Source organism: Homo sapiens, chromosome 16, assembly GCF_000001405.40.
Source record: "Homo sapiens chromosome 16, GRCh38.p14 Primary Assembly".
NCBI classification, from domain to species: Eukaryota; Metazoa; Chordata; class Mammalia; order Primates; family Hominidae; genus Homo; species Homo sapiens.
In genome coordinates, this window is record NC_000016.10 from 65,263,210 (window position 1) to 65,287,526 (window position 24,317).

General features: G+C 41.2%; 2 long non-coding RNA genes across 3 annotated transcripts in view; one reads left to right on the forward strand and one right to left on the reverse strand.

The window, feature by feature from the left end:
• The window catches only part of LOC124903780 (uncharacterized), a 161,687-nt gene that overhangs the window by 31,166 nt on the left and 106,204 nt on the right, over positions 1-24,317 (forward strand). The gene's annotated exons all lie outside the window — the stretch shown is intronic.
• Positions 21,293-24,317, reverse strand: part of LINC00922 (long intergenic non-protein coding RNA 922) — a 291,796-nt gene continuing 288,771 nt past the window's right edge. For both annotated transcript variants that reach the window (NR_027755.2, NR_174971.1), the window contains one exon: positions 21,293-22,230. This is a non-coding gene — a long non-coding RNA (long intergenic non-protein coding RNA 922). The remainder of the gene's footprint in view (positions 22,231-24,317) is intronic.

Here is a 24,317-nt window from a genome sequence, read left to right on the forward strand (position 1 = left end):
GTCATTGAACACATGCATAATAATTTTAATTTCAATATCTAGATCATCTGAAGGACAATTTTTAATATTTACATATTTGCTTGATGGTTGCTTTTTTGCTTCCAATGTCTAGTAATTTGCTATAATATACTGGACATTGCAGATGAAACTAGGTGTCTGGATTATGTTATCTATCTTGATTAAAGCTTAAAGGATGCTTAATTTTATTCTCATACAGAGTTAAATTTTTGTTGGATCCTTCTGATACAACAGGTTGATTTTATTCTTTATTAGGGAGGATAGATATATTGTGGTTTCTCTTTAGTCATACAGTATGGCTCTTACTTAAGGCAAGGGCCTCAGCCTAAAGAATGGCATTTATGGGCTCTGAACTAAAAGCTGAGCATCAGCAAAGTCAGTGCAGCCTCTGAGGTCTTCATTCAGCCAGTTCTAGAGCAGCTATTACCTACTGGGCCTTGGAATTTCACCCAGGATGAGTGCAGCCAGTTCATGGACAAGGATCGGTGGTGAACCCTTGTCTACAGCACAGCTCTGTCCTCTGACAGCCTGTAGCAAAAATTCTAGTTACTTCAGGTCCCTAAACTCTGATTCTCTTTTCTTTGTTCAGCAAAACTAACTTTTCTGTTTAGCTTCTACTTCTCCCTGGCGTGGTTTGGTAAATCCCAAGGAAACAATCCGAGGTTAACATGGGCTAACCTCACATGTCTATCTTCTCTGAAGGATCACAGTCTTACTCTATCTATTTTCTAACACCTGAACATATTTCCTCCATTATTTTGTCTAGTTTTATGGTTGTTTACCATGGGATGACAAACCTAGCACCTGATACACTATTATGGCCAGAGAAAGACTGCATCCATTAACAAAAATAGTAACTGTGCGAGATTTGCCAATTTCTCTGAAATACTTGAATAACATCTGTGAAAATCCCTGTGAGCAGTATGTGACTATTGTCCAAAAGAAGAGTTAGAATAAGAACTTGAGAAGAAATTTAGGTTTGCAGATTGAAGTAGCTGAACTCTACAGAAGATAAATTTGTTTAAAAATGTAAGTAAGATGTTTCTGGTTATGGCTCAAACTAACTCTATGATCTTAGGTAAGTCACTTCAGTCATCTAAATTTCAGCTGTCAAATGGGTATTGTAGGACATATTCTAAAACAATAATACTAATACTATACTAATAGTAATTTTAATACCAATTTTAATTATAATGCTAATAGTTAACACTAATAGCTTTAATTTATTACATGCTTACAATTTCTGGGCACATGCTTAATTTAAATGTATGATCTCTGTTAATTCTCATAAAATGCTATAGATATTATTTCACCTCTTTTTGTAGATGAGAAAAATAAAACATAGTTTTGCCTAGGTGACATAATTCATGGTTGGTGGAACTAGTATTTGAACCCAGATCTACTGGATTCCAAAGCCCATGTTCTTTATCACCATACACTTTGCCTTCTGTGACTGTTACATAGACTGATTGGGATCACATCAGACCATATAGAAGAATGCACCCTTACTAGTATGAACCCAGCCACAATTTCTGCTTCCCTTGCTGTTAACCCCTTTCTTTCCAGTTGTGCAGAATTTAGGACAAGAAGAAACCCAAAAACTAAAGTTGTACACATGAGTCTTGCTAATCAATAAACCTTCAGATGATGGCTTTTGGTCCATTATTACTTTCTCTAATAATGTCTAATTTATACATTTCTCACAGGTTGGGTAGGTTAATTTACTAGGGGGAACAAATGAGTAAAAACCTATTAGTCTTTTTTTTTCTTTTCTCTGCCTCAAAAATTATAATCTTGGATGTTTCTGTGAGGCAATATTAATAATGCATTTATCATTTCAAGCCCTTAACCTCTTAAGTTCTTCAAACAGAATTAAAAGAATCCTGAACTACTAAATAATTGCATTATGCAGCTGAATGGAGAGAATGAACACCTCTAAAATGACACTAATGTATTTATTCTCCTCCTGAGAACTTCACTACTCAGAGTGAGGTGGACGCTGTCACTACACTTTGCCTCACAGCTTCTTTGGAACTTCTCCTCAATTAGGCACAGACACTTCTACCCCTAGCCATCTCTAGACTCACAGCCGTTTTTTCCCCAAAGCAGAAGGCCATACAAATGAAGTGCAAGCATGGTTAATTGCACAGCTTCTCCTTGTAAACACATTGCTCTTTTGTTTGTTTGTTTGTTTGTTTGTTTGTTTGTCTTTCTCTTCTCTGGTAGTTATTTGAGGCATGAGGACATATCTATTGAGCTTGTGCTTCAATGTATATCATTTTGCCAGTGACTTCTTAACCTAATCTAGCCTAGCCTAGTTTCAGCAGCTAAAGACTTTCACCACAGGGGCTTACTTTGCCCACTTTGGGGACCAGTGCCACTCAAGCTTAAGAATAGCTCACAAGACTGATCGCTACCTTCAGTGGAGTCTGGAATTCGTCTTGCTACCCTAGAATGTGTATATAGGGCACAGTCCCGACTCATTAATATTCACTCTTTCACAAACAGCTGGTTTCTTTTCTGCATCTTTCAATCTCATCTTATCTCTTCTCCATGAACAAAGGTCTACTTGGTTGGCATTCTAACTTCTCAGCATTTACCAAGTCCTGACTTGTTGGGTACTAAAGACCACCTTTTCTATCCATCTCACATCTGGCTAATTGTAGACACTTTCTTTCATTCATTCAAAAGCTGAATAAGTGATTTCATGGATGATTGCCTGAATGCCATCCTACCCAGATTCTCTGCAAATGATGGCTGGTGAAGTATCTTAACTTATGAATACAAGTACAGCTTTGCAGGGGGTTCTCCAGTCAGAGTACAGGGCCTTTCCTCACTGCCATTATTTTAATTTTATTCAACTGATCACTTTATCTGGCCTCTGTATTCCCCTGGCTGCCCACCTGCCTGGTGGCCAAGCCCAAAACTATGGTGATAAACTCTGAAGAATCATTTCATGATGCCCATACATTTGGATGGACATTGCACATATATTTAATTAGAAGAACGAGTCTTATTAGTAACTGAAATGCATTTTTCATCCACAAAGAATCTAAATAATGTCTACAAAATATGCTCTTTCACATTTTTCATAAGTTGTCTTCTCAGTCCATACAGATCCAGCTCAGATAAATAGTCCAAGTTCCTTTTCTTTATCTTATTTTTCCCTCTTTTCCTCTGCCATTATTACTCTAAGCCTTATCCTATGCCTCTGTTTGTATCCCAGGATACTGACTTATCCTTAAGGTGTAAGTCTTTCAGAAACCCCAGACAAGAATAGCTGCAAGACAAACTCACCTTTCTCCTTTTCATGGAAATGGACTCTTATAATTAATTTCCATTGTTTTTATCCTAACAAAGTCTCTGCCATTTTATTGTTCCTCCCCAAAGAGCATCTCCACACAAATCTTGGGAGAGTAATGGTAAAGACATGAGTGGGCCGACCTGTAATGCCAGCATTTTGGGAAGGGCAAGGCGGGTGGATCATCTGAGGTCAGGAGTTTGAGGCCAGCCTGGTCAACATGGTGAAACCCCGTCTCTACTAAAAATACAAAAATTAGCCAGGCACGGTGGCGGGCACCTCTAGTCCCAGCTATTAGGAAAGCTAAGGCAGGAGAATCATTTGAACCCGGAGGCAGAGGTTGCAGTGAGCCGAGATAATGCCACTGCACTCCAGCCTGGGTGACAGAGACACTGTTTCAAAAAAAAAAAAAAAAAAAAGACACGTGTGAATGGTATAGAACATTCTATTTGCCTTCTTGGATTGTCTACCAGGGACTTTGTGAAGTTTGCTTTGAACACTATTCAAGATTCATAACACCTTTCTGTACTTTCTTCTCACTTTATTTCTGGATAACTAAAGTAGATGTTTGGACACTTGGGAAGGACACAACGGTGTTCTTATTTTATGAAATGACTACCTGAGGACAACTAAAGTTAGACAATTCATCTAAGGTCCTATAAAAAATGTGTAATTTCAGAACACTAGGATTATCTTTTTTTATTTCTTTTTTATCTTCTTCATAGGCAACCTATGTTCTGGGGCAAGTATAGAGTGCAGTGTCAGCTGTCCAAGCACTTTCTCTATAGACTCAAGGCATACACACATGGAAATTCTCCCCTGTTTCAGACACTGCAAGAGTGTTTTATGATTGTGAACTTGAGGTTCGTCCTACCCTTGACAATGCAGATTCTTAAATAAAGGCATAAGAAGTTCTACAGCATATGTTCAACTTCCATAGATCTCACTATCTGGAAATAAACTTTATTTTAGTTAAGATTCATCTTGTTCTGGTGCCAATTCATTCTACTTAACTACAGAAGAGTGACAACAATATATTTCCTCAAGAATTCTCTAACAGTTGCCATCATGTTTGTAGTGCTATTCATTCAGTTTCCAATTGTTCCTTGAAAAAAACTACTGGATTATCTACATTTGACACATAAGGACACAAAGGCTTGGGAAAATTTATTAACTACTTCAGAGCTGTGTGGCTTATAAATAACAAATGATGACTCTAGAATCTAGGATTATCTTATCCCAAAGCTGAAGTGTTTCACTGAACTACCTTAGAAAAAGTTATTTTAGTTCTCATGTATTGCTATTTTCATAGTTTATCTTAATTTTTTTCTTCATTTTGCTCCATAAAGAAAATATAGGAAAAAAAATATGGGGAAAAGGGAAACACACACACACACAAGGAAAGAGAGAGAGAGGCTTCCTATAATCTCTACTTCCAAACCAAAGCATATTATTTTTAGGAGAAATCCTAGCTGTTTGATAGCCACCAAGAGAAACCACTTCCATTAGAAACCCAAGAGCAGTGATTACAGGTGATTGGAGAGCATTCTCATTGGCTGCTGTGTTTGGATTGCTCTTCTGTCTTAATCATAAATGACCTGACCATTGAGTGGCGAAATTCTACTCCTAATATGAGCCGAGTGCCTCTCATATCAGCATATCTTGTGAAGCGAATTAGCCATCTAATAGCTAACAGGCTGATGTGGAGAGAAGTCAAATGTAACATAGATTTCCCAGAAGGCTTCAAAGTAGATCAAGTAACACTAAAATAAAATTGTCAAACTAGAAAATGATTCTCGTCAGAAAAATTTTTCTCCCCTATAAATAAATGGCTTAGACCAGTTCAAGAATGATCATAAACCATGGAAGACCTAGCATAGTGTGGTTCCCAAAGTGATTGTTGCCATTTTCTATAGTTGTCCATAACATGTGGCTGGTCATTTGAAGACTGGGAACTCATTTATGCTTGAGAATTCTCCCCATTCCATGTCTATTACCCATCCCTTTCAGCGAGGCAGAAATAACAATGATAAGACTGGCCCCCAGCTTCCTGCAATTCTACTGCCTGGAGAATGTTTAAGAGACTTGTACCAGAACTTGCAAGGTTGCTTTTGCCCAGCTACAGGACTTTCCACCTTGTTCAGAGACTGCCAATCATAAGCATATGGGAAAAAATAGCAATTCCAATAATTATTAAGAGTACTTGCTCCCCTATTACCTATAAGGGAAATCTTGTAAATCATGTTATCATGAACAATATATTAATAGCATTCAGAGTCATACAGACCTTGGCTTGAATCTTAGCTATCTGTCTTTGAAAAAAGCAACTTCCTTTTGAGTATTAGTAACCTTATGTATTTAATGGGGTCACAAATTCTTAATTCTGTTATGAAAATATCGATACAATTCTAAAGCTAACATTTACTAAGTGTTTGCTCTGTGCCAATCACAACACCAAGTACATAACATGTACTCTCATTTAGTCTTCACAAAAACCTCTTTTATATTACCTTTATCCTTTTTTACATGAAAAGCTGAGATTTGTTTTATTTTATCTATTTTAGATTCAGGGGGTGCACATGCAGGTTTGTTACATGAGTATATGGTATGATGCTGAGGTTTGAGCTTCTACTGATCCTGTCACTCAAATACTGGATATAGTACCCAATAGGTAGTTTTCAACCCTTATCCCCTCCCACACTCTTCCCTCCAGCAGTCTCCAGTGTCCATTGGTCCCATCTTTATGTCCACGTGTACCAAATTTTAGCTCCCACTTATAAGTGAGAACATGCAGTATTTGCTTTGCTGTTCCTGTGTCAATTCACTTATGATAATGGCCTCTAGCTGCATCCATGTTGCTGCACTGGACATGGTTTTGTTCTTTTTATGGTTGCATTGTATTCCATGGTATATATCACATTGTCTTTATCCAATCGACCATTGTGGAGGACCTGGTTTGATTCCATGTCTTTGCTATTGTGAATAGTGCTGTAATAAACATATGAGTGCTGGTGTCTTTTTTGGTAGAATAATTTATTTTCCTTTGGGTATATACCCAGCAATGGGATCGTTGGGTCAAATGGTAGTTCTATCTTTAGTTCTTTGAGAAATCTCTAAACTGGAGAAGGTGAGACTTAGAGATGTTAAGGTTAGAGATGATGTATGGTTACTGTGCTATTACGTGGCAGTGCAATAATGCAAACTTTCATATTCCTGCTCTGTAATTCTTTAAACTCTGATGCAATGAATTCAATACCATCATTTTGCAAATTGGTGGGGATGTTTGAAGAATTAAGTTTAAAGGATTAGCTAGTGAGTGTCTGTCTTGAATTGGACTGGGATGGCCAAGGCTAACCAGTGTGTCTGACTCGTGGGGAATCCCTAAACCTAAGTTTTTCTTTCACTCTCAAAATAATTACACACCATCCTGACAGACAGGAGTCTGTGTCATTAACTGGGATGCTGAGCTTTTCAATTTAGGGAAGAAGGATCTGCAGCTCTGAATTTCCTAAGATGGTTGGACCATCTGGTCTAAATACATATTGACATCACAAGGCATAAAACCTGAAACACAACAGAAATTATTCCCTTTGCAAAACAAATGCTAGAGGGAGAAATCACAGAGTAATTCCACCAAATTTTGCAACAAGTCTCACAAGACTGTGCGTGTTAATTGCTTGTAGCTGCAGGTTAATACTGCCAGTTCCTATGTGGCAGCTAAGTGCCAAATGGCAGGCCCTTCAATCACAGAATTACTGACATTTGGGGCTGGAGAGGCCCCTAACACCAAGGCATCCCTTCCATTTTCCACCCATACAGCCCATTCCTCAAGACTAGTCTTAAGTCTTTTTGGCTAGTTGAGTTTGAGTGTTGAGGTTTGTCCAGAGAAGTCATTACTTCATTGTAGATTTAACTGTGGGGCGATGCTTTATTTGGTTCAAACTATTGTGTTATTTGCTCAGTTTCACTCATTAATTCTAGCTTCTCTTGAGAATGCTTGGTCTCTCACATATTTAAGCCCTCGGCTTGGTATGCCAAGTCCACCACTGATGTGAGGGGTGACCGTAGGAAGCTTATTTCTTCTCTCTGGTCCCTCGTTGTTTTGCCTGCAAAATAGAATAATTGGAAGAGATGATATCTAAGGTCGCTGTTTCTTTCTTTTTTTATTTCCTTTTTGTTTTTCCCTTCATTTTTTATTTTATTTCATTTTTGTTTGTTGTTTTGTGCTCCATCTCTGCCCTTCTCTCTCCTTCTTGCCGTATTCTATAACTATACTGAAATGGTCAATTCCTCATCCTGTGACCCCTAGCTACACTGGAGCCAGCTCTTACCAACTTAGATAAGCCAAGTATGCTCATTTCTTCCAAACTTTGTGACCAGCGATGTCTCCTTGGTAGCTTGAAATCAGCCAGTATGGAATTCAGCAAAGGTGACAAACTGCAGCTTGCCCTCCCCACCTTTTCCAGACAGCCCATTGTCACACATTTACCAGCACACCATTGCTGTGAACACTTTCTGAATAGAGTCTTGGCATAACTAACCCTCTCTAAGTTAAAATAACTATGAGCAAAATACATTTTTAAAAAAACACAAGGTTAGATTATCCAACTTTAAAGAGCTCACCTACGTCCAGTACTTGGTGGGGTGGGGGGACTTATATTGAAAGAAAGGGTGAGTATAGGCAGGGGAAGGGTTTTTAACCAGTTTTGAGCATTTTCTATGTACCAGGAATATGTTTTCTTAAGCAATCCTCACTACAGCTTTAAAAGATAGGTTTTAGCTTTCATTTTACATATGAGGAAACTGAGGCTCTGCAAGATTAAGCACATTGCCAGACTCACAGAACTGGTAAGTGACAAAAGGCTGCTGCTCAGTGACAGTCTGAAAGCTCAGCACCATTTATGTTTTTGCTCCTTTTAGCAAATGTCAAAGGTGTAGAATAAAACCAAACATCCTTGAGTTCACACAAAATCCATCCAGACCATTCAGCGAGAAACAACTAGGGATAACTAAAGATCCCATAAATACAGGCTCAGAGAGGATTTCAGGCTCACCTTATTTGGGATTTTGGAGGTGGTCATTTCACAGATCAATGTAAAGTTTAGAAAAAGAAATTAACTTGTGGACTTTATATTTGAAAAGCTTGAGTCCATATGTCTAGAATGGTCAGTTGGTTTTAATATCTTGAAGTACACTCAAGTTTTCTTAATTATTACTTTCTGCTTTAGAAAAAAATGTGAAGGTAATTTGGAGGAGGGGTCTTACTCAAAGTCCCCTGTAGACCTCTCTGTAACTTCACCTGCCCTAAACTTAGGGTCACTGTGACTTTCACATGGAATAGCTTGAACTCAAACCCTAATATATTGACTCTAAATCACATAGTTTTTCAGCCACCACACCAAGATGCTTTGCCATTATGGAAGGGAAATCATTGCCATTAATATCTGTGTCTAAGACACTCTCATCTGCAGCAACATCCCCCATACTGGTAAATTTCAGCACATCCCAGAATAAGGCATTAATTTGCTTCCTCTTTTTACCATTTTGATGCTCTCCCCCTGCTAATGGGAAACAGAAATGCTGGTCACAACAGGAGACCTCCAGGCAGAACATGGATGTACTCTTCAAAGGCATGGAGAAGGGGGGCCTCAGAACCCAGCTGCCCCACAGATGGGGCTCATTATCCACACTACCCTCCCACATTGAAGGGAGGCCAAGTGAGAGCCACAGAAAATTAGAGGCTTGTGCTGGAGAGGCCAGATGTGGAGACAACAGGGACATCCTGTCTCCATTGGCCTGGTCAGTGGGTTTGAGTATTCTTTGGTGTGGCGGACAATGTGGGCTTTTTCCAGCATAAGATGAAGGGCATGTTAGGAAGGCCTGTTAAGTTAAAAAGTCACAGGAAGTAGTTGCAAAAGAAAATAAAAGCATCATTTCCTAGAGGCTCACCTGTGCAGGTAGAGAGGGACCCCAAGCAACCGAAGGGACCTGACACTGATTGAGGCTCCACTGTGTGAACAACTGTACTTTAACACACAATAGAGTGGTAATTCTATTTTTATTTCTTTCAGAAATCTCCAATCTGGAGAAGCTGAGGCTTAGATATGTTAATTCCTGCCATAGGCTCAGGGACACTGTGACTCAGGACAACATTTTGACCTGGGGATTATTTTAACATTTTATAAGCAGCAGCAACAACAATGACAACAATAATACCCTAGAGCTCAAAGGGGTACAGTGACTTGGCCAAAGCCACCTGGTTATAAGACTCAAAGGTGGAACTTGAGCCTGTGTGTTCTTGTGTTCTTAACTCTGAACCTTCGCCCTTTACATCTGTGCTCCTCAGTACAGTCCTTGGACCAGCTGAATCAGCATCACCTAAAAATTCATGACAAATGCAAATTCCCAGGCCTCACCCCAGACTTGCTAAACAGTCAGAGATGTGCGTTTTAACAAACACTCCAAGTGATTTGGATTTGCACTAACATTTGGGAACCACAGTTTTCCACCGTGCTACTGCCCTCTGAAGAAGCCCCTAACACTAGTCTCCGTATGTTTCTAGTCTCTTCTAGTCCCTTTGGATTAAGGCTCTAGTTTTCAGGAACAGAGAAACAGCTCTTCAAGAGTTCTGGGTAGGACACTGTGAGATTTGGCTGTCTTCAGTGACAGCAAATCACAGTGGAATAACTTTGCACATGGCTCAGCCCAGCTTACTCTGGCTCAGTGGCTGCAGGTGGTGAGATGCAAAGAGGCAAGGGGATGGAACATGGCAAATTGCTTTGAGGCAACCAAAATTCCCTCCTGACTTCCTTAGTTCCTGACACACTTGGTACAATGTGCATGCTGGCTTCTCAGCAGATATAATGGTGAATGGTCCTGGGGCTTGGATCACAAAGAAATAAACCCTCCAATAATCTTTCATAATCCAAACGCATGCTCTCCCTCCTGGACTATAATTAATGAATTAACACTAATTGACCAATGGTCTGGGTCATTCCTATCACTGTGATAGGCCCTGCTTAGGCCAGGTGGTGTTCACATTGTTCATTTATTTTCCTACAGTTGTTTCAGGCCTTCATTAAAATGCCAACTCTAGAACATGGGAGTTGGCAGTTTTTATAACCAAACATGGCAAATTGAATGTTAAAAAGGCTAAAATCTCTTCCAGAGTGTTGCAAAAAAGGCATTGAATTAGGAAAGTAGAAATTTGAGTTAAAATATCTCAAGCATTCCCTGGGTACTAGCTGGTATCCAAACAATGGTCAGTACCAAATCCTGTGAGGAAATAAAAGTTATGGAGTCATTGCACAGGCTGAGATTCAGGGAGATGATTTAAGGAAGATATACCATAAGGGCCATTGGCCCTGTGGGTATAATCCCAGGAGATTGAGTTATGGTTGTTCCATAGGCACAGGCTTCCTGGGGTGATTGTTAAAATAAAAGATGTTGACTATTTTTATAAGTCGTTCTTTATCTACTGATAGGAACCACTGGAATAACAGGATGAAGGGGTCGGGATGGAGGAACTACATTCCCCCATATGCTCTGGGGTTAGTGCAAAGCAGGTAGAAAAATAAATGAATGTGATAACCCTGGTCAGCTCCCAGACCAGGGTTGCCTATTGTGTTTATTCTGAGTTCCATGTTTTCATGAGATGTTGATAAGCTGGATGAAATACAGAGAAGGAAATTATACCTCATGAGAGGCAATGGAAGGACTTGGAGATGTTTTGACTGGATAACAAATAACTTAAGAAGAATGAGGGGCAAAATCCCTTCTCTTCAAATGCTTCAATCTTAAGGTATGTCCATCATTAAAAATTTTAAGAAAAACTTTGGCCATGTTTGAAAGTATCTGTAAATAGGTAACACAATTCCTCATGGTTTCACTATCCCAACACATGGCCTATTTCTATATTTTGCATATTGCCTCTTAGAACTTCCAGTACTTCATTCTCTATGGCTTCAAAAATGCAATCCGAGGACCAGTGATGAAAATTCCAAGGGGGCCATGTGTATTGCATTACAAATAAGAAGGTCCACATGTTCAGTGCATTACAAATAAGAGGGTCTGCATAATCAGAGCCATGTAACACTGGAGTCAGACACTATGCTGGGGATGAGCTCTTTCCTTTTGGAGTTGTTCAAGTATGAACGGAGAGGGTGTCTGTCAGTAAGGCTGCCAGGAGGCTTTCTGGTGGAGTCACTGTTTGCTCAGGATAGCTTTTACAGTGTCTTCCTACTCATAAGTGTGCACGGGTCTGTGGTTCCAGTATAGCTATCATACTTCCTTTCCTGAATCATCGTTTCAGAAAGTAAATGGCAAGAATGGAACAAACATGTTTTTCATGCCCTTTGCTTGCCAGATCTATCCTTTTGGCTCCTTTACATTATCTCTATTCTCAGGACAAACTTTATGAAACACCTATCCATTATTTTTGTATTGCAGATGGGTGTCTTAAGACAAATTTGCCCCTAAAAAGTAGGACAATGACCAAACTGATCCAAAATTCAAAAGACTCAAAACTGGAGAGTAGCTGAACTACAGAAGTCCTTACCACGGACAAGAGCCAGTGAGGCTTCAGAGACTTCAGCATCAAGAGTTGCTGGATGTTTACATGTCTATCCCCCATCAGTAAGACTCAACTACCACAACTCTTGAGATGCCTCCTTCTGCAAATTATTTTTCAGAAGAATCTTATTGGTTTAGTTCAGCCAGTGGACCAGTTTTCATGTGTGTCCGTGTGAAGAGACCACCAAACAGGCTTTGTGTGAGCAACATGGCTGTTTATTTCACCTGGGTGCAGGCGGGCTGAGTCCGAAAGGAGAGTCAGCAAAGGGAGATAGGGGTGGGGCCGTTTTATAGGATTTGGGAAGGTAATGGAAAATTACAGTCAAAGGGGGTTGTTCTCTGGTGGGCAGGGGCGGGGGTCACAAGGTGCTCAGTGGGGGAGCTTCTGAGCCAGGAGTAGGAAATTCACAGGGTTAATCACTCAGTTAAGGTGGGGCAGGAACAAATCATAATGGTGGAATGTCATCAGTTAAGGCGGGGCAGGGCCTTTTCACTTCTTTTGTGATTCTTCAGTTACTTCAGCCCGTCTGGGCATATACCTGCAAGTCACAGGGGATGCGATGGCTTGGCTTGGGCTCAGAGGCCTGACATTCCTGCCTTCTTATATTAATAAGAAAAATAAAACAAAATAGTGTTGAAGTGTTGGGGCGGCGAAAATTTTTGGGGGTGGTATGGAGAGAGAATGGGCGATGTTTCTCAGGGCTGCTTCAAGCGGGATTAGGGGTGGCGTGGGAACCTAGAGTGGGAGAGATTAAGCTGAAGGGAGGTCTTGTGGTAAGGGGTGATACTGTGGGGTTGTTAGAAGAAACATTTGTCATATAGAATGATTGGTGATGGCCTGGATACGGTTTTGTATGAATTGAAAAACGAAATGGAATAAGAGAAGGAGAAAAACAGGTATAAAAGGTCTAAGAATTGGGAGGACCCAGGACATCTGATTAGAGAGTGCCTCAGGAGATTCAGCATAGTCCTGCCAGCAAAGATTATTTATTTACTTCAAGAGTTTAGAGTGGCAGTTTGGGGATAGCACCAGGAGATATCAGCTGTGATGGCTTGGAGAAACAGTGTAAACCGGCAGTGTAAACAAGAGCAGGGCACGTATGAGTAGTTGAGAACGATGAATAGGAGTATGACTAGACAAAAGATAGTAGGGATGACAAGTTTTTTTGGGGGCACAGTCTAAGTTGCTCTGGTGTCGAATGAGACTGGGGCCTAATAAAAAGGAGCGTCTATACAGGAGCTTAAATGGGCTCCTGTACACCTTGTAGCATTCTGAGGACAGGCCTGAATTCTGAGAAGCAAAAGTGGTAAAAGTATTGTCCAGTCCTTTTTAAGTTGGTGGCTGAGCTTGGTGAGGTCTGTTTTTAAAAGACCTTTAGTCCACTCTACTTTTCTTGAAGATGGAAGACTGTAAGGGATATAAAGGTTTCACTGAATACTAAGAGCCTGAAAAACTGCTTGGCTGATTTGACCAATAAAGGCTGGTCTGTTATCAGACTGTATAGAGGTGGGAAGGCTAAACTGAGGAATTATGTTTGACAGAAGGGAAGAAATGACTGTGGTGGCCTTCTCAGACCCTGTAGGAAAGGCCTTTACTTATTCAGTGAAAGTGTCTATTTAGACTAAGAGGTCTAATAGTTTAGTTTCCTGACTCGGGACATGTTGAGTAAAGCTAATTTGCCAGTCCTGGGTGGGGGCAAATCCTTGAGCTTGATGTGTAGGGAAGGGAGGGGTCCTGAATAATCCCTGAGAATAGCAGATGGAACACTGAGAAGTTATTTCCTTGAGGATAGATTTCCACCATGGAAAGGAAATGAGAGGTCCTAAGAGGCGGGCTAGTGGCTTGTACTATAGCATAACCTGCCTTTGCTGGTGTGTGGCGATTAGGCCTGGTGGAACTGCCACCAATAAATCAAGCGTGATCAGGGTGAGGAGCAGGAAAGAATGAAATATGGGGAAATGGGGTGAATATCAGGTGGATCAGAGAGATACAGTCATGGGGGTCACGTGTGGTATTAGGAATAATGTGGGAGGCTGGACTGAAGTCCTGGTCAGGAACAATGGTAATTGTGGGACTTAAAGAGTGAGTACAGCTGAAGGAGCCGGGGAGCAGAAAGTATATGCATCAGGTATGAGGAAGAAAATAGATTTTGGAAGTTATGAGAACTGTAGAGAGTGAGTTGAGCATAGTTTGTGATTTTTAGGGCCTCTAACAGTATTAAAGCAGTGGCAGCCGCTGCACGCAGACATGAGGGCTAGGCTAAAACAGTAAGGTCAAGTTGTTTGGACAGAAAGGCTACAGGGTGTGGTCCTGGCTCTCGTGTAAGAATTCTGACCACACTAACCATGCCTAGGAAGGAAAGGAGTTGTTCTTTTATAAGGGATTGAGGTTTGGGAGATTAATCAGACACGATCAGCAGGGAGAGCACGTGTGTTTTTATGAGAATTATGCCGAGATAGGTAACAGATGAGGATGAAATTTGGGCTTGACTGAAGTAATGGGGGCTGTCTGTGAAGCCTTGCGGCAGTACAGCCCAGGTAATTTGCTGAGCCTAATGGGTGTCAGGGTCAGTCTAAGTGAAGGCAAAGAGAGGCTGGGATGAAGGGTGCAAAGGAATAGTAAAGAAAGCATGTTTGAGATCCAGAACAGAATAATGGGTAGTAGAGGGAGGTATTCAGGATAGGAGAGGATACGGGTTTGGCACCACGGGGTGGATAGGCAAAACAATTTGGTTGATAAGGCACAGATTCTGAACTAACTTGTAAGGCTTGTCTGGTTTTAGGACAGGTAAAATGGGGGAATGGTAGGGAGAGTTTATAGGTTTTAGAAGCCCATGCTGTAGCAGGCGAGTGATAACAGGCTTTAATCCTTTTAAAGTGTGCTGCGGGATGGGATATTGGCATTGGGTGGGGTAAGGGTGATTAGGTTTTAATGGGATGTAATGGGCATGTGATCGGTTGCCAGGGAAGGAGTAGAGATGTCCCATACTTGTGGGTTAAGGTAGGGGGATATGAGAGGAAGACGCGAAGGAGGCTTTCGGTTGGGGAGAAGGGTGGCAATGAGATGTGGCTGTAGTCCAGGAATAGTCAGGGAAGCAGATAATTTAGTTAAAGTGTCTCAGCCTAATAAGGGAACTGGGCAGGTGGGGATAACTAAAAAGGAGTGCTTAAAGGAGTATTGTCTAAGTTGGCACTAAAGTTGGGGAGTTTTAAGAGGTTTAGAAGCCTGGCCGTCAATACCCACAACAGTTATGGAGGCAAGGGAAACAGGCCCTTGAAAAGAAGGTAATGTGGAGTGGGTAGCCTCCGTATTGATTAAGAAGGGGACGGGCTTACCTTCCACTGTGAGAGTTACCGGAAGCTCGGCGTTCGTGATGGTCTAGGGGGCTTCCGAGGCGATCGGGCAGTGTCAGTCTTCAGCCGCTAAGCCGAGAAGATCTGGGAAGGAGTCAGAGAGCCTTGGGCCAGAGTTCCAGGGGCTCTGGGAGTGGCTGCCAGGTGAGTTGAACAGTCCAATTTTCATTGGGGTCCCACACAGATGGGACGCGGCTTAGGAGGAATCCCGGGCTGCGGGCATTCCTTGGCCCAGTGGCCACATTTCGGGCACGTGTAGCAAGCTCCTGGGGAAGGAGGTTCTGGAGGAACGCCTGGCCGCTGCGGTTCAGGCGTTTGGAAGTTCTTGTGTGCTGGAGATGTGGCTGGGGTTTGTCTCACAGTGGAGGCAAGGAATTGTAACTTTTTTCTGTTATTGTACACCTTGAAGGTGAGGTTAATTAAGTCCTGTTGTGGGGTTTGAGGGCCAGATTCCAATTTTTGGAGTTTTATTTAATGTCGGGAGCAGATTGGGTAATAAAATGTATACTTCAGGCCATCTGGGCGTATATGTGCAAGTCACAGGGGATGCGACGGCTTGGCTTGGGCTCAAAGGCCTGACACCAGTTTGCCTTGGGTCAGGTCCAATAAACTACGATGAGGGTATGAGCTTGCAAAGTGATTCACGTGGATGCCTTGGTTTGCAACATGTGCAGGTTGTGGTGGCAGGGATAGTGGTGGAGTTTTCTTAGAAAGATATGAGTAGGAAGCAACAGTCCTTATTTCTGAGAGAGTCTTACAGTTGCCTAAGATCTCACCACTATAGATCCCAAAGTCTATGGTCAGAACAAAATCTATCTGGATGTGAAGTCCCTGATCTTGCTGACATATCTGGTAAAGGCAGCATAAGGCTGACTCTCAGAGAAGCTGGTCTCTTGTTCAAGGTCACACGTCAGTAGGAAATGCAAGAGAGTGTTGTTCACCATTGTTAACTCTGTCCAACAGTGGAACATGCTGGAGAAGAGCCCATCCAGGCATTCATTTCGATCAGTTGTATTAACAGAGTTGCAGAATTTAGCTGGGTTCCATAGTTAAACTGATGTGGATTCAGGTCCAGAATCTGCCTTTTGTCAACTGTGTGATACTAGGCCAGTTAATCAATGGATAAACAAAGTACTAGTTCTGGGAATCCAATCCCTGGATTCTAGGAACCTCAGTTAATCTGAAATGAGGATTTTCAGCAATATCCTCTTTCAAAGCCACTCCCAATCTCAAATTCTGATAAGGGTCTTATGCAGGAGTTGGCAAACAATATCCCATCAGTCAACTCCACCCATTTTTGTAAATAAAGGTTTATTTGAACACACCCACACTCATTCATTGGCATACATGGCTGCTTTTGCACTACAATGGTAGAGTTGAGGAGTTGCAACAGAAAGTGAATGACCTGGAAAGCATAAAATATTCACTGTCTGACTCTTTACAGAAAAAGTTGGCTGACTCCTGGCCCAAAGGGAATTTATTTATTTCTGCCTTCAACTCCCATGCTGTTTTGCGCAGTTCTTGCCTTTCCTTGGTATTGTTCCCCTTCCTTTTATGAAAACTTAGAGACCAATCTTTGAACATATTCTCCCTGGGATCAAATCCCAGCTCTGCCACTCACAAATGGTGTGAGCCTTGGAAAGTCCCATTAATTTCCTAAGCTTTAGTGATCTCTAGAAAATAACATTAGACAGATGTATGCCATAGTGTTTTTCTGTGACTTCAAAGGTATAGTCCATGGAAGCTGCTTAGAAAGTGTCCAGGGGATGTTAGCTACTATTACGATGACTGTTCTTTTCTTTTTTAAAAAAAGTTATTTTTATTTGCACAAATTAATGGAGTATATGTGAAATTTTCTTATATGTATATAATGCATAGTAACAAGTCAGGGAACTTAGGGTGTTCATCACCAGTGCACACTGCATTTGTCTTAACTATAGTCACCCTACTCTGCTATCAAATATTGATTTTATTTTCTTAATTAATCACTCTGGGCAAGTTTCCATCTCCATGTTTCTTAACTAAGGAGTTTGACACTTAATACCTGGTAGCTCATGGTTAATACATGGTCTGGCCCAGAGTAAACACATTATAGGAAAAAGAGATATCTATTTTAATCCTCACAACATTCCTACTTTGGTGACAATATCACTGTATTTCACACAGGAGGAAAATCAGAGTTAGGAAGGTAAGCATCTTACCCCAAATCCCAAACCCTGTGAAGATCAGAACCAGGATTCAACCCCAAGGTTAAGGCCGTCCTCTACACCACCTAGAAATGCCAAAGTTCATAAGGAAACAATAATCCAGAGAGTTACCTTTCAGCACAGTGATCCATTTATTTCCAGTTTTTTCTTTCTTTTTGCATGATTTTCTTTTATACATAGTTGATATCTGTTTGTTTATGAATGAGTATAACTTTATATCTTGCTTTTTAAAAATACACTATTACAGATGTATTATCATCAGAAACTCTTGGTAACCATAGCTGTAAATGACTTAATAGTCTGCATAGTATCAGTACAAAGTATGAATATGTACATCAGAATTTATTCACACCAGATTTCCAGCCAACCACGTGTTACACCCCCCTTAGAGCAGGAATAGGTACAAAAGCCTGCTGTCTGCAAGTGCCAGGGAGGACTCGCAGGATGCCTCTGCCCATTCTCTCCCCAGAACAATGAGTCCCAGACAGTGCACAGAGGCCCAGATTCCTGAGACCGCCCAGTCCAGGCAAGGAGTCAGGTCTCCCGGCCGTCCTCCTTAGGTTAATCAGAAGCAGGCACGCTCTGCTGAACTGGCTACTCAAAAGAGAATACAAATGCCTAAGTCTCAGGGATAGAAGGTGGGCTCCACCAAAAACACACATACACCCTCCCCTTCCTTTCCCCCAGCACAGGAAGCTTCAGGCTAAAGGCCTATATGCCTCTCATGCATCCATATTCTGCATCTCCACCCCCTTCCCCAGCCGTGGGGGTTGAAGTTTCATTACATATCTCAGGAGGGGTCGTCATTCTTTTTCAATGAACATCTGGCCTAAGAGATCTCCTAATTAAAACCACCAACTAATTATTATCACCTACTCTTTCCACTTGTTGTTTATGATTTCCGTGTACTCCCACCTCACCCCCAAAACACATGGATTCCTTCAGGAATGGTTAGTCTCTCTTAGCTCCCCCCACCCACTTTAATGAGTCTTATGTCCCAGCCTTGTTTCTCAAGGAACTGGAGGTCTGGGACCCTGATTACTACCAGGGTTTCCAATTGCCTATTCTCCCCCTGGCCTTTCTGAAAGGATCTATTGAGAAAGAGGTCATGATTAAAGCCCTCAGAACAAGCAAAGTGTAATTGAAGCAGTGCCTGGCGCCTCTCTGCTTAACCTCCCTCCCCATAAACTGCAGCCAAGCACAGCAGGCTGCAGACCCCCTTCCTACATCTCTCTCTACAAAGGAAAAGTGAAGTGTGAAGTGGGGGCGGGGCCATCCCAAGTCTCTGCAAGCCAAAAATGCAGGTAGCTAAGAGGAAACATCTTTGACACGTGATGAAGATATTTGGGAAAATCGATGCAGAAAAAAATTATGTCAGACTTGTCACAAAGAGAGTGAAAAATGTATTTATATTGCATACACTTTGGGTTCATACATGCAACTCAGACATTAAAGGTTATGAGGGACCCCTCAGGAGGGTGGTATGATGTGGTAGAAGGAGGCTGTGCTTCTGAAATGTTCTGAATCCTCAAGATGCCCAGTATTGCCCTGGCTGTAAAAAATCTTGGAGTAGTTACTTCATTTTTAGCTTCATTTTCTTGCAAAACTCTTCCTTGCAAGGTACTGGGGAGGACTCAAGAAGCTGGCTTGAGTATCTAATACAGTCTGTGCATAAAGCTGTTTACTCATTGTAAATGTCTATCTTTTCTTTTCCACACATGCATGCACGTGTGTGTGCGCACAGGCACACTGAAACACCAATAGTTATAAAGCATATAAGCTAGGTACCATTATTTTAACTTGAGGGAATAATGGCTAAGATATGATTATTATTAAGAAGGGAATCAAGCCTTCCTTGGAAGCTACCTCAAGAGCTCTTAACATATTACTACTCTTGGACGCTGATAAGTGCACTATGTTGCATATAGAAAGATACTTATTACAGCATCATTTATAGTCCCAGGGCAATTAAAGCAATAAGGGAAATAGCTGAAACATACACTCAGAGTTTACTGGTGTGAATAAATTATGATATACACATTCATACTTTGTACCAATACTATGTGGACTATTACATCATTCATAACTATGGTTACCAAGAGTTTCTGATGATCATATGTCCATAATAGTGTATTTTTTAAAAAGCAAGATATAAAGTTATACTCATTCGTAAACAAACAGATATCAACTATGTATAAAAGAAAATCATGCAAAAAGAAAAAAACTGGAAATTAATGGATCACTGTGCTGAAAGGTAAATCTCTGGATTATTGTTTCCTTATAAACCTTGGCATTTCTAAGTTGTGTAGCGTATGGCCTTAACCTTGCGGTTGAATCCTGGCTCTGATCTTCACAGGGTTTGGGATTTGGGGTAAGATGATTACCTTACTAACTCTGATTTTCCTCCTATGTGAAATAAGTATAGTGATAATGTCACCAAACTAGGAATGTTGTGAGGATTAAAACAGAAAATGCATGTAACATGTTTAGCTTGGCACATGATACTATAGTTCATTATGTTTTCCTGGTTAAAAAAATAAGTTGGAATGGGAGGAGCAAAAGCCCAACAGAGACCAGGAGAGTGGAACTTCACTGACAGAGGATGCAGCTGGGGCCAGGCCTGTCTGGTGCTGAGGGGGGGTGCCTGGCAGCAGTGGCCCAGTCCCTATCTCTTTCCACAAACAAACAAAACCCTTCTGGAGTGAAACTCCACACTGACCATCTGTGTTCATTCAACACCCACATTCACCCTTTTCACCCCCTGCAGGTTCCATTTTCAGCTTTTCCTTCTCTTTGATGTAGATAAAAATCTGCCTGGAGCAGCCAAATGTTTTAAAGTGGTGAGATTTAGACTGCAGGCCCCTGCCTGTGTCGGAGAACATTCTTAGCCACGTGGAGGAGACCAGATTGAGGTCAGCAGCACCTGGTGAAGGGGCCTGGTTCTTTCCTATGCTAAGTACAACACTGAGCCAGCCCATGGCCCGGAGTCTGCATTGGAAATAGGGGCTGTGTTCTGACTTCACTCAAGAAGCCATTAAGTGGAAGACTGTGGGTTTCCTCTTCAAACTCTGTCCCTGCTTTCTGTCTCTCTCTCTCTCTCCCCCTTTCTCTCTCTTTCTCTCTCTCTCTCTCTCTCACACACACACACACACACACACACACACACTCCAAGATCTTTTTGGGGGCCCTAAATGCTTCCCAAGAATTTCTGTTATCCATTCCTATTCCTGCAGAACCACACATACTTCTCTAGTGCACAACGGATATTATTTTTCAAGGACTCATATAATCTTGGTTTTCTCAATTTGGTGAACATTTCACAAAGGTGGGAATTGTATCTGATATGTTTGACATTGTATCACCAGTGCAATACAGTCTGGCAAGATAGATAGTTTGGTACCCAAGTGAATAAGTGAATATACCAGTAGAAGCTCTAACTGAATTTAGGAGCCCTGACTAATCAGAGTCTTGAGAGTTCCTGGCTGTAGAGAGGCAGGGAAGGTGATGCCATTGTATGGGACAAGACTGGCTGAGGGATTCCAATGGTCCATAGCTCACTTATTCTTTCTGGCTTGCTAAGAAGCATGGAAACTCAGGGCCCCAACTTTGTTTGTTCTTTGTCTGTGTGTGTCTGTATGCACTTAGGGACTTTTGAGCTTAGTAATCATGACCTTGGGGGTAGCTATTATGATGCTCTCACTGAAGCTGTTTTCCTCTGTAGCCAGTCGTGTGCATTTCTGATCTCAGTGTACAATGTATGGCATGCAATAGACCCTCAGTTAATGTTTGCTGCTTCTTAAAATATTAGAGTGTGCAAAGAAGACTTGTAAACTAAGAGCAGGAGGCTCCAAAGACAGGTTTAATTTAAAACAAAACAAAACAACAACAACAAAATAACTCTCTTGTTTCATGTAAGTCGGACCAACAGAGGTTTAATAAACCTGTCTGCCCAGTTAGTTTGCTCAGGGAGGATCAGATGGCTACCTGGTGTCTTAAGAGAACAGCAGCAACCTCACAGGGCTCCTAGGGGATACCATCGTCTTTGGCCATGGAGCTAAGTCTCACGGCACTGTGCAACAGGGCCATCACTGAAAACCAATCAGCAGCTCCAAACGTGATCTCACAGTCTTCAGACACAGCTCAGGACTCCAGTCACTGCTATGTGATTCGAATGCACATACCTTTTCTATGCCCGTTTGGTTTCATATTTCAGTTTCATGCTAGGAATCGGGATTTTTGTGGAGCTGACTCTTTAGTTCTTTGGGGACCCCTTAGCTTTGTAGTAATGCCCTGGGATTGCCTTGGCCTTGTCTGTAATCAGAGTTACACAATCAAGGAAAAAGCGAGCTCGGGGCTGTCATTTCAAATGGAGGAGCAGCAGGGAAGAAAAAGTTATTTGGTTGTGTCTGCAGAATGACATTGAACCCTTCGAGAGGGCAGTGGCTCCTCCACCACCTCCTCTTCTGCTGTGTTCCCTTTGGGTTTCCTATAGAGGCAGTGGCTGCCATTTACAACTCCCCCAGAATTTCTGTCCCCATCATCATCTATCCAGCTCTCTGGCAGGGGTACATTCTGCTCCCCCGAGGTAACCTTGAAGCTAGTGTCAATGATGGATTTGCACAACTTCACTTCTGAGTTCTGAATACATTTTTTCTGCATGACACTGAGGGAGGGGTGAGGTGTAGCGCTGGGCTGCAGCCACCTAGCTGTCTGTCTTCATTTAAAGGATTGTAGCCTGGCTCCACAGGAGAATCTTAATGCTTGGCGGTCTTGTGTGTGCTAAAGAGAAAGAAAAGAACACAAAATAAACAGTAATGCCTGCACTCCCCAACCTGGCCCCCTCACCCTCTATCCCCCCACTCCCTTTTATTTCTCTTCCTACCTCTCCTTTCCTTAGCACAATATATATCCTCACCTGTCCTCCCTCCATTCTAACATTTAAGGCAGTACTTTATCTTTTTTGTTCTCTGCTGGATCTTTAATGCCAGGAACGGTGCCTGGCATATAGCAATCAGGCTCTGAATAAATATTTATTGAATGAATGGACTGGACCTGGTGACAGCGTGGGTTTGAGATGAAACAGATGGCAGTGGCAGTTCTGGTGCTGACAGAGAACAGCTATCTGCTCCAGCAGCAACACCTCCCTTCCAGGAGCCTCAGTTTCTACATCTATATAAGGAGGGTTGTAATTACCCAGACCTGCCAGACATCTTGTGAAGATGAAATGGAAGGATTCATGTGAAAGTGTCTATTAAGCTACAATATTCCATGTGTGAGTCATGGTTTGTTTAGCCTGATTTTAGTGTTTTGATTGCATTTTTTCTTTCTGTCGGGGACTTAAAATCCTTTTGAAAGTACGTAGAATATAAGTGATTCAGATAGAAAAAGAAAGTAGATGAGAATATTTCACAAATAAGGATGTAGCATTAAAATGAAGTTCTCACAAAAGTAAAAAAAAAGTACAAATGGTAAAAACACTTCTAAGAACAATTGGGAATCAGCCCATTGATGAGAGAGGTGACTTTAGATGGAGAGGTGACTTTAGAAGTCAAATTGGTGATGATTATACACACACACACACACACACACACACACACACACACACACACTCTCAGAGTGGGCAAGGGTCCCATGAGATGACACTCATACATTCCTGGTGAAAATAGAGATTCTTACAAAAAATAATTTAGCATCAAGCATCAAGAGCCTTAAAATATCGATTTTTAAAAATTGACTAATCTAACTATTTGGAATCTATCCAAAGAATGAATTGCAGGTAGAGTTGCATGTATAAGATAGTTCAACATGATGTTGTTGCTTATAGTAGAGAACTGTTGGTAATAACCAAATCCCTGACAACAGAGGAAAATTCTAAAAACATTTCCATAAAGAATAATGCATTGAAATTCATCAATCACAGATATTATGCTCTAAGAGGATTTAATGTCAGGGGAAAATGCTGTCAATGTAATTTCAAAGGAAAAAAAGAAAAAAGCTATATAGATGGCATTTTCTCAGTTTTCAAATAAAAGCACATTTATATACAATAACTATTTCAAGTGTACAAACACAGAAGTAAAATTACCGGTCCCCCATAACATATGATAGGTACTACATATTTGCAAATTTTACATATATGTATGTATATGTAATTCATTTTTCTATCAATGCTTTTTTGTCATTTTTTGTTCTTTAAATTTTTGTTGATATGTAATAATTGTACATATATGTGGGCACATGTGATATTTCGTTACATGTATAGTATGTGTAGCGATCAAGTCAACATATTGGAAGTATCCATCACTTTAAGTATTTATTATTTCTGTTTTGGGAACATTTCAAGCCCTCTCTTCTAGCTATTTTGAAATATACAACACATTGTTGTTAACTATGGTCACCATACTCTACTATGGAACATTAGAATGTATTCATTCTATCTGACTATATGTTTATACCCATTAACCAACCTCTCTTCACTCACTTCCCCCACACCTTTCCTAGTCATTTCCATGTTATTCATAATAATAATACATTACTTTTGAAATAGAGAATAACTATTTTTCAAAGTTATTCAAAACTCTAATTTCTAATCTTCATATTACATGTTAATAAACGTACTAGTTATATTATTGCTAAGCCTGACATGTTAAATAAACAATTGCTTTCAATTGCATAACACAATTCTCAATTGGGGAAAGACCTGAATTAGACAAATGAGGCCCCAGTTATCCCAGGGAATTAGACCAGCCCTGTGTATCCCGCCCTTCACCTTTACCCCTCCCTTTTCCTGTTGAGAAGGCAGGGGCATAATCAGGGAAGAATCCCAAGTCGATTAGGAACTGAAATAGCTGACCCTCCCTGTCCCT